This window comes from Homo sapiens, chromosome 2 (genome assembly GCF_000001405.40).
Source record: "Homo sapiens chromosome 2, GRCh38.p14 Primary Assembly".
NCBI classification, from domain to species: domain Eukaryota; kingdom Metazoa; phylum Chordata; class Mammalia; order Primates; family Hominidae; genus Homo; species Homo sapiens.
The window spans coordinates 58,086,090-58,104,010 of NC_000002.12; the positions used below are offsets into that span (position 1 = coordinate 58,086,090).

General features: G+C 33.6%; 1 protein-coding gene across 16 annotated transcripts in view; it reads left to right on the forward strand.

Annotated features, from left to right (window-relative positions):
• Positions 1-17,921, forward strand: part of VRK2 (VRK serine/threonine kinase 2) — a 252,329-nt gene that overhangs the window by 178,498 nt on the left and 55,910 nt on the right. For 14 of the 16 annotated variants that reach the window (NM_001288837.2, NM_001288838.2, NM_001288836.1 and 11 more), the window contains 3 exons: positions 250-337; positions 2,252-2,357; positions 3,542-3,634. In NM_001288837.2, the coding sequence (NP_001275766.1) occupies positions 250-337; positions 2,252-2,357; positions 3,542-3,634 (287 nt within the window). The remainder of the gene's footprint in view (positions 1-249; positions 338-2,251; positions 2,358-3,541; positions 3,635-17,921) is intronic. The other 2 variants (XM_047445748.1, XM_047445747.1) reach the window with 1 other exon arrangement.

A 17,921-nucleotide genomic window follows, 5' to 3' on the forward strand; every position in this document is an offset into this window, starting at 1 on the left:
TATATATGGTATCAATATACAAAGCCTATGACTTGTTTTTATTGATTTAATTTAAAAATTTCTAATTTTTTGTTAATTATAGTGGTAACAGTTTGAGGCCATTAGATAGAGATGTTTGATTGAAAAAAAATTATCTTCTAGGAAGATCTAATTACTTTTTTGGTTAGCTAAATAAATTTGTCTGTAGAAAGGTGACAAGTATCTTTTCAAATAACATGAATCTTTTTAAAAATAAATTTGTCTTTGTAGTCAAAAAGTGGATAGAACGCAAACAACTTGATTATTTAGGAATTCCTCTGTTTTATGGATCTGGTCTGACTGAATTCAAGGGAAGAAGGTAAAATGGAATTATTATAATCAAATATTTCTTTATAACTATTCCTTATGTGGTCTATGAGTTAACTATTGCCATGTAACAAATTACCAAAACATATTGGCATATAACCACAAACTTGTATTGTCTTAGTTTCTGTGAGTGAGGAGACTGCAAGTGGCTTATCTGTATGATTCTAGATCAGGATCTCTAATAAGGATATGTAGTCAGCTGTCTGCTGGGTTACATTCATTTCAAGGCTCATCTGGGGAAGTATTTGTTTTCAGGGTTCCTCATGTGGCTACTGGTAGGCCTAAGAAGATCTACTTCTAATTTACTTATGTGATTGTTGGCAGGCCTTCTTACTTCCTGATCATGTGGGTCTTTGCATAAGCTACCTGAGTGTTATGAAAAATAGCTGGCTTTCTCTAGAGCAATTAATTGGGGGACGGGGAGAGCATGCACACAAGTGCATTCAAGAAGGAAGTCATCGTTTTTTGTAATCTAATCTTAAAAGGGATATTATCGCTTCTGCTTTATTCTCTTTGCTAGAAGCTAGTCACTAGATAGATCCATTGGTCCTGAGAGAGGAGAATTCAGTTCTATCTCTTGAGGAGAAGCACAACAAATAAGTTATAGAAATATCTTTAAAACCACCAAATATGGCTAGTCCTATATATAATTTATTAATAGTGTTTGAAAAAAGAAAAAAAGTGTGTCATTTTATATTTACCCTTTTGTGCCAGAGACTTTTATATACTTTATCTTATTTTGTCCTTTGAATAGCCTGTTAAAATAGGTGATATTATTTTTATTCCATAGATGAGAGAATAAGCTCAGATGTCAGTACTTTGTTGAAATGGTCTCTAAATGCTTTAAATTTAAAAAAATGAGCAAACAGTAATCTTGAAGTAAAGGACTGCCACTGGGGGACTGAATGGCTGATTGAATCATGATACATCCATATCATGTCATATGTAGCCCATTAAAGAAGTCCATTAGAGCTATACTAGTTGCCTTAGAAGGATTTTGATGAGATACTATTGAAAAAAGTAAGATGGAGAAAATACTTATAATATGATCACATTTTTGTAAAACAAATTCCTAAGTGTGTGTGTTTGTGTATGCATGCATAGATATAGAATAGGGGCTGATGTGGATATATAAATGAAGGGAAGGAAAGAAGGTATGGAAGGTGCCAAACAGAACAGAAAAGGAAGAAGTGCACTTAAAGACATGTTTATAAATGTATAGAGACGGTATATATGATCTTATCAAGAAACAAACAAATATAAAATTCATGTGGCTGGGCACGGTGGCTCATGCCTGTAATCCCAGCACTTTGAGAGGCTAAGGCAGGCGGATCATGAGGTCAAGAGGTCGAGACCATCCTGGCCAACATGGTGAAACCCCGTCTCTACTAAAAATACAAAAATTAGCTGGGTGTGGTGGTGCATGCCTGCAGTCCCAGCTACTTGGGAGGCTGAGGCAGGAGAATCGCTTGAACCTGGGAGGTGGAGGTTGCAGTGAGCTGAGATTGCACCACTGCACTCCAGCCTGGTGACAGAGCGGGACTCTGTCTCAAAAAAAAAATCAAGTGTGTACAATAATTTGTTCAAGGCCATATGGCAAGAAAGTCATGGAGTCAAAATGAATTGCATTCAGTACTATCTAATTTAGAAAGATTTTTTCATTATGTAAAACAGTGTGAATGGTTCAGTACAGCATTCTCTTATAGAAAATCAGCTGCAAAGTAAATATTGAGCAGTTTCTGCAAAAGAATAGCAGAATTATGAACGTGCATTCATTCTCTAATGGTTTAGATTGCATTATACTTAGTTGTTAGGTTGAGCGTAATTTTTCTTGTTTCAAATTAAATAGACAGTTTCAAGCATTACTTTCTCAGGATGATCTCTTTTTGATGCTTTTTTCTTACAGTTACAGATTTATGGTAATGGAAAGACTAGGAATAGATTTACAGAAGATCTCAGGCCAGAATGGTACCTTTAAAAAGTCAACTGTCCTGCAATTAGGTATCCGAATGGTAAGAATTACTTATTTCGCATGCTCCATTTCCAAATTGTTTACTTCTTGCAATATAGAAATCTTTTCCCTTTGTGGAATTATTAGAGAATGAAGGATTATTGCCCTAGAGACATCAGTTATTAGGAGTAGAGGCTATTTTGGTGAAATTGATAACAATGGGCTCTGTAAGTGACAGAATGTGCTGTGTATGGCACTGCAAACTCAATTAGGCTTTGGTTCTCCAGTCTGATCTTCTTTTTCCTTAGAGCTTTGTTTTACATACCAGAACAAGCTTTCATTGCTGTAAGAATAACCTTTCTTTTGTCAGTTATAACAATGCAAATTATGGCAAAATATATTGTCAGACATTTTAAACATGTGATGGTAGGGGGGTGCTATGAAGTTTTTATTATGAGTTTGGGATGGTGGCAATAATTAGTTGTGACAATGAATAAAATATACTTTGCCAAAGCAGAAGCAACGAACTCTTAATAGCACTCAGGCACACATTTGTTTATACTACATATTTGTCTTATATGTTTGTATTTGGTTTGTTTAAGTCTCATTTTTTCACTTTTGAGTAGCATGAAGCTGCTTATGCCAGATTGGAATGCAGCAAATAGAATGCATTAATTTTCTCATTTATCCATCCTCGAAGCCAGCAAATGTTTATTGAGTACTAAGTGTATGTAACATGCAAGGCTGAAGGGCTTTAGAGATGAAGCTAAGGAGTTTTCTATTACCATACAGAGGAAGAATACCTTTCCCTTTGCTCATGGACATGGCATTTTGTTCTGAGATTCTCAAGGCTTGATTTATAATTATTGCTTAGGTGAGGAATTGCTGAGTGGGCTTCAAGATTATTTCACCATAGATCTCTGATTTTATGCTATGTTTTTCCTCTTTGTGCAGTGCGGTTTGGCTACTGGGCTATCAGGAATTAGGCATAAGCATTTTTGAATCTTGATTTTCTTCCTTTGGAACTTCAACTAAAATACTTGATTTTTGAGGATCATTTTACTTTTTTCTAGGATGAGCAACCAGAAGATGTGATATTTTAGAATAATTAACCAGTAATTGTGAAATACATCGCTTTGTCAATGTTAATATGAAAAAACCCATGTTATTCTATATTCAAAATGTTGAAATTGATCATGAGTTCTAAATAGCAGTAAACCTTATTTTATCTATTTATTTTCACAGTTGGATGTACTGGAATATATACATGAAAATGAATATGTTCATGGTGATATAAAAGCAGCAAATCTACTTTTGGGTTACAAAAATCCAGACCAGGTAAATACATACTTTTGCTTTTAATAAAGGTCTTTAATGTATGAAACTGAAACATTCAGAAAACAAACTTCTAACCCAGAAGAGTTTACAAATGAGGGCGTAACATGATGAATGTTGTAATTTATCTTACCTGCTTATCTAATTTAATCTTTGTACCAAACTAATGAGTAATTAGGATGAGAAACTGAGAGTCAGAGGGGTTAAATAATATGTTAATGGGCACACAGTTAAGAAGTGGCTGAGCAGGAATTTGAATTTCTGAGCAAATATAGATAAGCAAAGAACCATCAAAATCCAGTGGGAGTAGAGATGGATTTATGTAGAGGTTAAAACACTGTCATATTAGTTCATCATTTCCTACTGTATAACCAATTAAGTTTTAAGCAGAGAGGCCGGGCGCGGTGGCTCATGCCTGTAATCCCAGCACTTTGAGAGGCCGAGGTGAGTGGATCACCTGAGGACAGGAGTTTGAGACCAGCCTGGCCAACATGGTGAAACCCTGTCTCTACTAAAAATACAAAAATTAGCTGGGTGTGGTGGTGGGTGCCTGTAATCCCAGCTACTCAGGAGGCTGAGGCAGGAGAATTGCTTGAACCCAGGAGGCGGATGTTGCAGTGAGCTGAGATGGTGCCATTGCACTCCATCCAGCCTGGGCAACAAGAGAGAAACTCCATCTCAAAAAAAAAAAAAAAAAAAAAGTTTTAAGCAAGCTTTTCCATTAAAATTTTGTGTAATGATGAAAATATTCTGTTTGACTGTCCAATATGGTAGCCATTAGCAGTATGTGGCTAAGTACTTAAAACGTGGTCAGTACAGTACCAACTGCTGATGAGTATTTGGAGTAACAGGAACTCTCATTTGTTGCTCATGGAAATTTGTTGCTAATGGAAATGCAAAATGATACAGCCACTTTGGAAGACAGTTGGGCAGTTACTTAGAAAGCTAGACACTCTTAACATACCAAGCAGCAGTTGTGCTCATTAGTATTTACCCAAATGAGTTGAAAACTTACATCCACACAAAAACCTGCACGTGAATGCTTGTAGTCGGTTTATTCATACTCGTCAAAACATTGAAGTAACCAAGATGTCTTTGAGTAGGTGAATGGATAAACTGATACATCCAGATAATGGAATATTATTCATTGCTAAATAGAAATGAACTTTTCAGCCATGAAAAAACATGGAAGAAACCTAAATGTATTTTACTATGTAAAAGAAGCCAATCTGAAAAGGCTAGTTACTATACAATTTCAACTATATGACATTCTGGAAAAGGCAAAACTATAGAGACAGTAAAAAGATCAATTTTTTACTATCTCCATAGGTTAGAAGGGAGAGGAAGGATGAATGAGTGAAGCACAGTGGATTTTTAGGTCAGTGAAACTATTCTGCATGATACCATAATGGTGAATACATGTCATCATTTGGTTGTTAAGATCCATAGAATGGACAAGACCAAGAGTGAACATAATGTAAACTGTGGCTTTTGGATGATAAGGATTGTCATTCTTGGTTCATTCACTATAAAAAATGTGCTACTCTAGTGAGGGATGTTGATAGCGGAGAGACTTTGTGTGGGCTTGAGGTATATGGGAACTCACTGTATTTTCCACTCAGTTTTACCTACATTGCTCTAAATTTACCTAAATCAAACCTAAAACTTCTCTAAAAAATATAGTCTGTTTAAAAAATGTAGATTATATTTTTAATATTAAAATATTAATATTGACAAACTGAATTTTTAATTTAACTTAATTTAAACTTAAATAACAATATACCTAGTTGTTACTGTATTATCACGTTTAAAGAGTTAAATGATTGAGTCTATAAAAAATTAGAAAAAATGTAATTGAATATTTGATCTCTGCATTGGTTAAATTTCTTAATAAAAATTTTTTCAAAATGAAAGGTGAATGAGAAACTGGGAAATAGATAGATAACAAATATTTGAGAATATCTAGCCGGTACTAAAAAAAAAATTAAGAAAAACACTAAATACCTTGTTAAAGCGATGATCGAAAAGAATGAATAAACAGAACAGAGAAGGAATATGACTGTCCTAGAAACAGGAAAAAAGGCTACCTTTGTGAAAAATGAGAAGATAAGGAGACCAAAACAGCGAGGCACCCTTTTTAAAGGACTTATCAAATTGGAGAGGTCTAAAATAATAGTCTGATAATATTGAGGCTGATAAAGGTACCAGCACTTTTAGAATGCCCTTTGGGAATGTAAATTAAATGGTATAAGAAAGTTAGTGGAAGGGAATTTGGCAATATCTGCATACTTTTCAAAGATTAGGTTTTTTGAGATATAATTTACAAACAGTAAATGTCACGCTTTTAAATGTACAGTTTGATATCTTTTGACAGATGTATGTATCATGTAACCACTACTGCCACCAAGATGTAGAACATTTCTTTCATTCCCAAAAGTTCTCTCATTCCTGTTTAGAGTCAGTCCCCTTCTCCTGGCATTGCTCCCAGCCCCAGGAGATGATTTCTGTCCCTATATTTTTACATTTTCAGGAATGGTATATAAGTGGAATTGTAAGGTATGTACTGTTTTGGGTCTGTTTTCCTTCACTTAACATAATGCTTTTGAGATTTATCTTTGTAGGTCATTAGTAGTTCATTCCTTTTTATTGCTGAGTAGTATTCTATTGAAAACTGCTACAATTTCTGTTCACCTGTTGATGGCTATCTGGGTTGTTTTCAGTTTTTGACAGTTATAAATAAAGTTGCTATAAGCTAAGCATTCACATACAGCCTTTTGTGGAGACATATGTTTCACTTTCTTTTGAGTAAATAACTAGGAGTGGAATTTCTGGGTCATATGAAAGTGTATGTTTCACATGGAAACTGCCAAGTTGTTTTCTGGAGTGACTGTACCATTAAACATTCCCATCAGCAATGTGTGATATTTCATTTGCTCCACCTGGTTTCATTTTTTTTTCCATACTTTAAGTTCTAGGGTACATGTGCACAAAGTGCAGGTTTGTTATATATGTATACATGTGCCATGTTGGTGTGCTGCGCCCATGAACTTGTCATTTATATTAGGTATATCTCCTAATGCTATCCCTCCCTCTTCCCCCGACCCCATGACAGGCCCCGGTGTGTGTTGTTCCCCTTCCTATGTCCAAGTGTTCTCATTGTTCAATTCCCACCTATGAGTAAGAACATGCGGTGTTTGGTTTTTTGTTCTTGCGATAGTTTCCTGAGAATGATGGTTTCCAGCTTCATCCATGTCCCTACAAAGGACATGAACTCATCCTTTTTTATGGCTGCATAGTATTCCATGGTATATATGTGCCACATTTTCTTAATCCAGTCTATCATTGATGCACATTTGGGTTGGTTACAAGTCTTTGCTATTGTGAATAGTGCTGCAATAAACATACATGTGCATGTGTCTTTATAGCAGCATGATTTATAATCCTTTGAGTATATACCCAGTAATGGGATGGCTGGGTCAAATGGTGTTTCTAGTTCTAGATCCCTGAGGAATCGCCACACCGACTTCCACAATGGTTGAACTAGTTTACAGTCCCACCAACAGTGTAAAAGTGTTCCTATTTCTCCACATCCTCTCCAGCGCCTGTTGTTTCCTGACTTTTTAATGATTGCCATTCTAACTGGTGTGAGATGGTATCTCATTGTGGTTTTGATTTGCATTTCTCTGATGGCCAGTGATGATGAGCATTTTTTCATGTGTTTTTTGGCTGCATAAATGTCTTCTTTTGAGAAGTGTCTGTTCATATCCTTTGCCCACTTTTTGATGGGGTTGTTTGTTTTTTTCTTGTAAATTTGTTTGAGTTCTTTGTAGATTCTGGATATTAGTCCTTTGTCAGATGAGTAGGTTGCGGAAATGTTCTCCCATTTTGTAGGTTGCCTGTTCACTCTGATGGTAGTTTCTTTTGCTGTGCAGAAGCTCTTTAGTTTAATTAGATCCCATTTGTCAATTTTGGCTTTTGTTGCCATTGCTTTTGGTGTTTTAGTCATGAAGTCCTTGCCCATGCCTGTGTCCTGAATGGTATTGCCTAGGTTTTCTTCTAGGGTTTTTATGGTTTTAGGTCTAACATTTAAGTCTTTAATCCATCTTGAATTAATTTTTGTATAAAGTGTAAGGAAGGGATCCAGTTTCAGCTTCCTACATATGGCTAGCCAGTTTTCCCAGCACCATTTATTAAATAGGGAATCCTTTCCCCATTTCTTGTTTTTGTCAGGTTTCTCAAAGATCAGATGGTTGTAGATGTGTGATATTATTTCTGAGGGCTCTGTTCTGTTCCATTGGTCTATATCTCTGTTTTGGTACCAGTACCATGCTGTTTTGGTTACTGTAGCCTTGTAGTATAGTTTGAAGTCAGGTAGCCTGATGCCTCCAGCTTTGTTCTTTTGTCTTAGGATTGTCTTGGCAATGCAGGCCCTTTTTTGGTTCCATATGAACTTTAGAGTAGTTTTTTCCAATTCTGTGAAGAAAGTCATTGGTAGCTTGATGGGGATGGCATTGAATCTATAAATTACCTTGGGCAGTATGGCCATTCTGATGATATTGATTCTTCCTATCCATGAGCATGGAATGTTCTTCCATTTGTTTGTGTCCTCTTTTATTCCATTGAGCAGTGGTTTGTAGTTCTCCTTGAAGAGGTCCTTCACATCCCTTGTAAGTTGGATTCCTAGGTATTTTATTCTCTTTGAAGCAGTTGTGAATGGGAGTTCACTCATGATTTGGTTCTCTGTTTGCTGTTGGTGTATAAGAATGCTTGTGATTTTTGCACATTGATTTTGTATCCTGAGACTTTGCTGAAGTTGTTTATCAGCTTAAGGAGATTTTGGGCTGAGACGATGGGGTTTTCTAAATAATCATGTCATCTGCAAACAGGGACAATTTGACTTCCTCTTTTCCTAATTGAGTACCCTTTATTTTTTAAACTTAAAGCTCTCTTATTCATTACAGTTTATTATAAGTGGTTTTCCAGTTGTTCCAACACTATTTATTTTAAAATATCTTTGCTTCAGTAATATTAGTTGTTACTTTTGTCATATACTCAGTTTCCTCATGTACTTGGTTTTATTTCTGTACTTTCTGTTGAATCACACTGATTTGTCTATTTATATAACAATACTAGCCATAAATACTTTTGCATTAATTTCTGAAGCTTTATAATGTAATTTAACATTGGATTGGACTAGTAGTTCCCTGTAGTTCTCCGTTTTCAGTGTTATCTTAGCTATTTATACTGGATTTTCTGTATTATTTTGTTTAGTTTCATTTAAAAGGAATACTTGTGCTGGGCGCGGTGGCTCACGCCTGTAATCTCAGCACTTTGGGAGGCTGAGGCAGGTGGATCACGAGGTCAGGAGATAGAGACCATCCTGGCTAACATGGTGAAACCCCACCTCTACTAAAAATACAAAAATTATCCGGGCGTGGTGGCAGGTGCCTGTAGTCCCAGCCACTCGGGAGGCTGAGGCAGGAGAATGGCGTGAACCCGGGAGGCGGAGCTTGCAGTGAGCCAAGATTGCGCCACTGCACTCCAGCCTGGGTGACAGAGCGAGACTCCGTCTCAAAAAAAAAAAAAAAAAAATACTTGTTGGCATTTTCATTGAAATTATGTTAAGTTTTAAAATTGATTTGGGGGAGACCTCACATCTGTATGATGTATAGATGTTCATATATGAACAAGGAATGTTTCTGTTTTTCATCAATTTTGCATTAGGTCATTAGGATTATTTTAAAGCTTTCCTCTTACTAGTTTTGCATATTTCTTATTATGTTTGTTTCAAAATATTATACCTTTTTGTTGATATTGTCAGTGGATTTATTCTATTATTTCTTATTATTTTTGTTTATATATATGAAGAATTTTTATTTCCATGCATTAATTTTATATCCTGTTAATTTACGGAATTATTTGTGGTTCAGAGTGGTTTTAGTAATGGTTCTTTAGAGTTTTCTTAGAAAACTGTCATATGCAAGTAGATACAGTAGTTTTTCTTCTTTTACAGTTCTTGTATTTAATTTGTCTTGTCTAATTGCATTGTCTAATACATTCAATACAGTATTAAATAGTAAGAAATGTAATCATCTTTTACTCTTCTTAATCTTATTGGAAATGCCTGAAGTATTACCCCATTAAATGTGATGATGGCTTTAGGACTAAGGTTTGTGTATATGTTTGTGAATATATGTGTGAATATGAGTGTGTGTGTATCTGTTTATAAAGTCAAGAAAATATCTGTCAGCGCTTATGTTCTTGAATGTGTTTTATTTTTATGGAATGGGTATTGAATTTTTTCAGAGTCTTGTTTAACATCTATAGAAGTAATCATATTTGTCTCAAATATTTTAATATGGTATAATATATTGCTGAGCTTCTAATATTGAACCAACCTTTTAAGGAATAAATCTTGATGTGTTATGGCATAATATTAGTGTAATGTTGAAGTTCATTAATATTTTATGATGTGATTTCATATTGATATTCGTAAGTGATATTGATCCATAGTTTTCTAATTTTGTTCTGTTTTTATCATATTTTGGTGCCAATATATTTGGTTCATAAAAAGAATTTGGAGGTTTTATTTTCTGTGTTTTAGAACTATTTCTGTTACATTGGAACCATCTGGTCTTTGAATGTGAAACTATTTGATTCTTTTGCTTTTCTGCGTGGTAGTTCTTTGTGATTCTCTACTTTTTTCAGAAATTGGTTCGATTCTTTATCTCTATTTGAGTGTCTGTTTTAGTTGTTATTCATGTTATCTGTTTTTTCAATTTTATTTGTGCGGTGGTCTGCATTGTAGTTTTTTATGACTTAAATTTTTCGTACTTCAGTGATTGTTTCTCTCTAGTTATTTTAAACTTTATTTTGCTTTCTCCCTTTTTCTATCCTTATGAAGGTGGCCAGTAGTAGTCCCTTTTGTTAATTTTTCAACAAAGTTCAATTTTGACTCATTAATGAGATTTTTTCTTTTTTCTTATTATTAATTTCTGACTTTTTCTTTATCTTGTCTTCATATATACTCTTTTAGTTTTACCTTTCTCTTCTTTTTCTAGTTCTCCAATTGGATGTCCCTCCATAAGAGTTTAAGGCTATGAATTTTCCTCCCTTATTGTTTTATATTATATCTAATTGATTTTGATATGTAATGTTTTTGTTCTCTTTATTCTTTGGAAAGTTTGTATTTTTCTTTCACCAAAAAAGTAGTTCAGTAGGAAATTCTTAAATTTTTATGTGGAAGGGCCTTTAAATATTGTTTTTATTAATGCCTAGACTTATCACAATATTATTATGATATTGTTTATAATAAGTTTACTCTTTGGAATGCACTGATGCTTTAATTGTGACTTAAAAGCTGATCAGTTTTTGTCAGTCTTCCATGTTTGCTTGAGAAAAAGGTAGTCTTATTTTCAGAGTGTAAAATGCAGCAAAAATCCAAAAGATCTACCTTATTCACTGTATTGTTTATGTCATCTATATCTTTATTTACTTTTTGTCCACCTAAGCTGTTTTGTACTAAGAGTGGTGTTTAAACGTCTACTCTTATTAGTGTTTCTCTCTGTCTCCTTGTTCTCCTATAGTTTTTTTTTAAATAAAAATTATTGCTGTTATTTGGTATACATTTGTCACTATATTTGTTGTGTTTTCATCTTGTTTTATGTGTTTTTTTAAATCTTTCAAGTTGTTTAGGGGGAGAGGGACTATTTATGAAAGTTTGTAATTTTTATTGTAGTACTTGCTACAACAACAGTAGTTGTATCATATTTAGCAGAGGAAATGTAGTTTGTCCCCTGTACTGTTTGGTTAAAAATGTAAATTAAAAATTAAAATTTAAAATTAAATTATACAGTCATGTACCATATTATGATGTTTTAGTCAGCAACGGACCACATATACAACAGTGGTCCTGTAAGATTATATTGGAGCTGGAAAGTTTCTATTGCCTAGTAATATCACAGCCATAGTAATGCCATAGGGCAACACATTACTCATGTGTTTGCAGTAATGCTGGTATAAACAAACCTGTGCTGCTCTTTGTATGAAAGTATAGCACGTAACAATTATGTACACTATATAGTACTTGATAATGATAATAAACAACTATGTTACTAGTTTATATGTTTATTTATTATACTATTATTATTTTAGAGTATATTCCTTCTACTTATATAAAAAAAAAGTTAACTGTAAAACAGCCTCACACAGGCCCTTCAGAAGGTATTCCAGAAGATTGTTTGTTATCATCGGAGAGGACAGCTCCATGCATGTTATTGCCCCTGAAGACCTTCCAGGGGGATGAGATGTGGCAGACAGTGATATTCATGATCTTCACCATGTGTAGGTCTAGGCTAATGGGTGTGTGATTGTGTCTTATTTTTTAACAAAAAGATTTAAAAAAATAAAAAAGAAAATAAATATAGAAAAAGCCTACAGAATAAGGATATAAAGTATTTTTGTATAGCTATACAATGTTTGTTTAAAGCTAAGTGTTATGACAAAAGAGTCAAAAAGTTTTAAAAAAATAAATAGTTTATAAAGTATGGTATGGTAAGCTAAGGTTAATTTATTATTGCAGAAAGAAAAAAACTGTAAACACATTTAATGTAGCCTACGTGTACAGTGTTTTATAAGTCTACAGTAGCATACAGTAATGTCCTAGGCCTTCACATTCACTCACCACTCACTCACTGACTCATCTAGAGTAACTTCCAGTCTTGTAAGTTCCATTCGTGGTAAATGCCCTATACAGCTATACCATTTTCAAATCTTTTATATGGTACTTTTAATATACCTTTTTATGTTTAGATATATTTAGATACACAAATGCTATTGTGTTACAGTTGTCTGCAGTATTTACTATAGTAACATGCTGTATAGGTTTGTAGCCTAGGAGCTATAAGTTGTACCATATAGCCTAGGTGTGTAGAAGGCTGTACTATCAGGGGTTGTGTAAGTACACTCTAGGATGTTCATACAATGATGAAATTACCTAACAATACATTTCTTAGAACATATCCCTGTCATTAAGCAATGCATGACTATATTAAGAAACATGTACTTACAGAAGTGATACGTCTTAAGAAAAGACAATAAAAATCCATTTTAACTAACTTTTTGGTCATTTATTGTGTTAGGCATTATGTTGTATGCTTTAATAATATTATGTTTATAATTACAAATTTGTGCTTCATTGATAGGTAGGTAGATATTATCCTCTTGGACCACCTAACCTAAATTTTTAAGCTCTCTTTGAAACCTTGCTGATTTTGGAATATGATATGGTGTTGCACAATCGATAACTAGAACAGTGGCCTTATAAGGGCTGATCTAGTATTTGGAAAACAAATGTATCCTTCTGGTTTCCTTACTTATAATGGAATTATCAAAAATGATAGTGGTGTTTCGAGTAATGCCCACTTGCCTATATCTCCCAGTGTCACTTGGAGGAAGTTGATGCAGTTTGAGATTACAACTTTTATTTCAGTGGTGCAGATGCTCACATCTGGAAAGGCACCTCTTTGTTTATCAGAGACATATTCTTTTCATGCAACAGTTTATATGAAGCCTTTCTTAATGATTCTAGTCTATACTGAGCTTTTCCTTTTTCTAATTTCCTATAGCTCCTAATGTATATTTTAAGCCTGTGAGTGCTCAGGTCTCACTTGCCTTCGTGTTGTCTTACATTCTGAACTAGAATGAACTCCTGAGATATACTTCTTTTATATTCCTCGCAGCATGTGTATTTGTATTCCTTTCCTATAACCCTTTAAGAAATACTTTATTGACTGCTTAAGGCATGAGGCCAGTCTTGATGCAATATCTGTCATCTCAGTGCCAGGAATACCTTGATTGTAGAGCTCCTTGCCCCATTATGCTGCATGTGTTTCTGTTCTCAAGCTGCCTACTAGGTCAAAGAGGATGGCCCTCACAGGTAGAGAATAATTCTTCATGTCAACATGTGAATGTTAGTATACCTGTGTTCTTTAAAAACACTTGTCACAGTGCCTTCTTGATTCCTGGCGATTGTGGTGGACTAAGAGTCAAGAGACTAGGTTCTAGTTTCAGCACTGCCATTAAGCAGAATTGCAAATCACTTAACCTGTATAGGTTTTGGCTTTCTAGTGTATAAAATATGAGATTTCAACTAAGTGATCTCAAAGGTTCCTTCTAGCTCTAAAATTCTATGATTTTATGAAAATGTGTTCTCCAAATACTTAAAGCTCATTGCAGAAGGTAATGTTTCTTATAGTGTTTCCAAAGTGTCTTGCCTATTGTTGTACAGTTAAGGAAGTTGAAAAGTAGAAAAAAATTTAGTGATCTGGAAGAAGGAGTTGTAATACCTGACCTGTATCTGGTGGCAAAATACTTACTTTCAAAGTTCCTAGGATATTCATAGGGCAGGGTCATAAGCCTCATTAAATCCGCTTGTTTACTGTTTGCTGAAGGGAATTCTAACACAATCCATTTATCAATCCAGGTTGCTTGTAAAATGGAGTGTGAATGTGTTTGTAAGAATTTTGCATGGAATGTGCACATAATATGGTCACTATTTAGAAGTAGTGTTTCTTGTGTTCACCATCTATAAAATTTAGTTTTAATCACTTCTATATATAAACAATATAAAATTTACTTACTGTAATATCTGTATTTCATTATCTCCAGAATAGTGTTATATATTTTAGCTTAATGATACTATAATATTACTAGGTGGTATAGCTGGTGAGACTCCTTTAAAGTGGATAGGGTTTATGTGGATAGCATTATAGTATAGATTAACATGCATGTTATTCTTTCCTTCCTTGTGAGGTTCTGCTGTATATTTTCAGATAAGCAAAGAGACTTTGGAAATAGTTCCTGTGATTTTAATTATTTGGACTTTTAAAATTAATATTTTATGAGTTTTACATTAATAGGATTATTTTAAAATTATATACTTTCACTTAATTTTTCTTTGTCTCAGTATAACTATCATATGAATACATTGTTTTTGAACTTTGATAATTTGCTATATATCTAGATTTTGTGGATCAGTTCTATAAACTGTTTTAAGGTTCTCTCAGTATTATTTTTCAAAGAAAAATAAACTCTATGCTAAATTTTATTTCCATCTAACTTTGTGTAATGTGTTAATACTGCTATTTTACTAAACATCAATTTGTTTATTAAAGTATTTTAAAATTGTTTAATCAAATGCATTTTTTAGGTGAATAGTGTTCCTATTGTCCAAATAAATTCTTAACATGGGCCAAACCAGATTAGAGCCATATTAAAAAATTCTTGTTTTGAAATCCTATGTAAATGATAGCTATCTGAATATGGGCTACTAGAGTCTTATTATTATTGGAGGGTAGTGATGGATGGAAAATATTGAAGAAAACAGCATAATAATTATGATTTAGAATCCATGGTTTCGATATTTAAAATATTTTGTGAGGCTTCTTTTCCAGTGCTCGTAAGATTCCAAGGCAAGTAAGAAGCTGTTACATATATAATTTTCCCTGCAGAACAATGTGATTTTTTCAGTTTTTTATTTTGAAAATTTTTAAACATACTGAAAAATAGAGAACTCCATATGACTATCACTTTTAAATTTTTTATCTATTTTAGATGGAAATATTTTAAAGTAAATTATAGATATCATTACATTTTACTTAAATACTTTAGTATGTATGCATCTCCAAAAACTAAGGACAATTCACTATATTATCAGAATGTGATTACTACTCTTAACAAACTTCACAGTCATTCCTTAACGTCAGGTACAGTTTTATCTTCCATTTTCTTCTTTATCCTAAAATATGAGAATATAGAAATACAGATTAATTATTCTAATTGTACTTAAGCTCTCTTTTTCTTTTTTTGTGACTTTTTTTAGTGGACTTCTCTGTGCCACACTTTCTCTTTCTATAAATCCAGCAGCCTAGATCATGTGATTTCTTTGGTCCCTTTTATCTCTCATAGCCTCTGTCTGACTCACTGGGTAGAACTGGTTGTTAGCTAAAATCTGATTTAGGAAACTGCTGGTGTAGAACCAGGTGAATGTGATCTCTTTGATATATATGTACATCAGGAGAGCATGTTTCTTATCTTATAAATAGGAAAACAGGGATTGTGTTTATTTCAACTTATATTTCCAGAAGCTGTTATAGAGCATGAAACATAATAAGCATTCAATAAGTGATGAGGGCACAATGAGAAATTAAATAGATTAATGCATAAATGAATTTGTTAATCAATGTTCAGGAGTAACAGGTCAAGCCAACCAAGTAGAGCTGGATATACTGTATATAGCCAGGTATAGTAACTAAGTCATTTGTAGATTTCTTAAATTCCCATTGGGAAAGATCTACCCAATGTGTCAAAAGATCTTTACTATTTAATATAGCCATTATGATTATTTCCTTGCAGAAAACTCTTTTAGCACATTCACATAGAGAAACTGACAATGGGAACTGCTGTGGGTTGAATTGTACCTTCTCAAAAGCTGTTAAAGCATCATGAGGAAAAAGCCCTCACATATTAATATTAACCTTGAATATAAATGGATTAAATACTCCAATTAAAATACACAGATTGCCAGAATGGATTTTTTTTAAAAAATGAACCAACTATATACTAGTTACAAGAAACTCACCTTGCTGGTAAAGACACTTATAGATTGAAGGCCAAGGGATTGAAAAAGATATTCCACCCAAGCAGAAACCAAAAGCAAGCAGGAGTAGCCATGCTTGTATCAGATAAAACAGGCTTTAAATCAAAAACAGTTAAAAAAAAAAAAAAAGACAAAGGAGGTTATTATATAATGATAAAACAATTCAACAAGAGGCTATACCAGTCGTAAATATACATGCCCTGAACTCAGGAGCAGCCAGATTCATAAAACAATATTACGAGACCTAAATAAAGAGATAGCAATACAATAATAATGGGAGACTTCAACACCCCACTCACAGCACCAGACAGATCATTGAGACAGAAAATCAGCAAGGAAACTAGACTTAATTGAACATTAGATCAAAAGGATGAAACAGATATTCCAAGAGCTGCAGAATATACATTTTACTCATCATCACAGGGAACATTCTCCAAGATAGACTGTATGTTAGGCCACAAAACTAGCCTCAATACATTTTAAAAAATCAAAATCATATCAAGTGTCATGTCAGACCACAGTGGAATAAAACTAGAAATTAATACCATGAGTAATTATTGAAACTATACAAATACATGGAAATTAAACAACACATTCCTCGCTGATCTTTGGATCAATGATGAAATTCAGATAAAAATTTTTAAATTTTTGAAATGAATGAAAATGGAGACACAACATACCAAAGCCTTTGGGATACAGAAAAAAGCACTGCTAACAGGGAAGTTTATATCTTTAAGTGTGTACTTCAAAAAAAGAAATCACAAATTAACCAAACATCACATCTCAAAAAAATAGAAAAACAAGAACAAACCATACCCATAGCTAGCAGAAGAAAATAAATAGCAAAGATCAGAGCAGGACTAAGTGAAATTGAGACCAAAAATTAAATAAATAAATAAAAATTAAAATAAAAAAATCAACAAAATGAAAAGTTTGTTCTTTAAAAAGAAAAACTAAATTGATAAACTACTGGCTACACTAACCAAGAATAGAGAAGTTCCAAATACACATAATCAGAAATTAAAAAGGAGACATTACAACTACTACCACAGAAATGCAAGAGATCATCAGAGACTTCTGTGAACAACTATATGCTTATAAACTAGAAAACCTAGAGGAAATGGATACATTCCTAGAAACATACAACCTCTCAAGATTGAACCAGGAAGAAATAGAAATCCTGAAGAGACCAATACGAAAGTAGCGAGATAGAATCGGTAATAGAAAAATCTTAACAAACAAAAAAAGCCAGTAACCAAATGGATTAATTGCCAAATTCTACCAAAAGTACAAAGAAGAACTGGTACCAATCCTACTGAAACTGTTCCAAAAAATCAAGGAAGAGGAAATTCTCCCTAGTTCATTCTACAAAGCCAGTGTGACCCTTATACCAAAGCTAAACAAGGACAAAACAAAAAAGAAAACGTTGGATCAATATCCCTGATGACCATAGATGCAAAGTCCTCAACAAAAACTAGCAAACCAAATCCCACAGTGCATTAAAAAGATAATACACCATGATCAAATAGGTTTCATTCCAGGGATGCAAGTATTCTTGTGATGTGATTCATCACATAAGCAGAATTAAAAACAAAAACCATATGATTATACATGCAGAAAAAAAGCATGTGA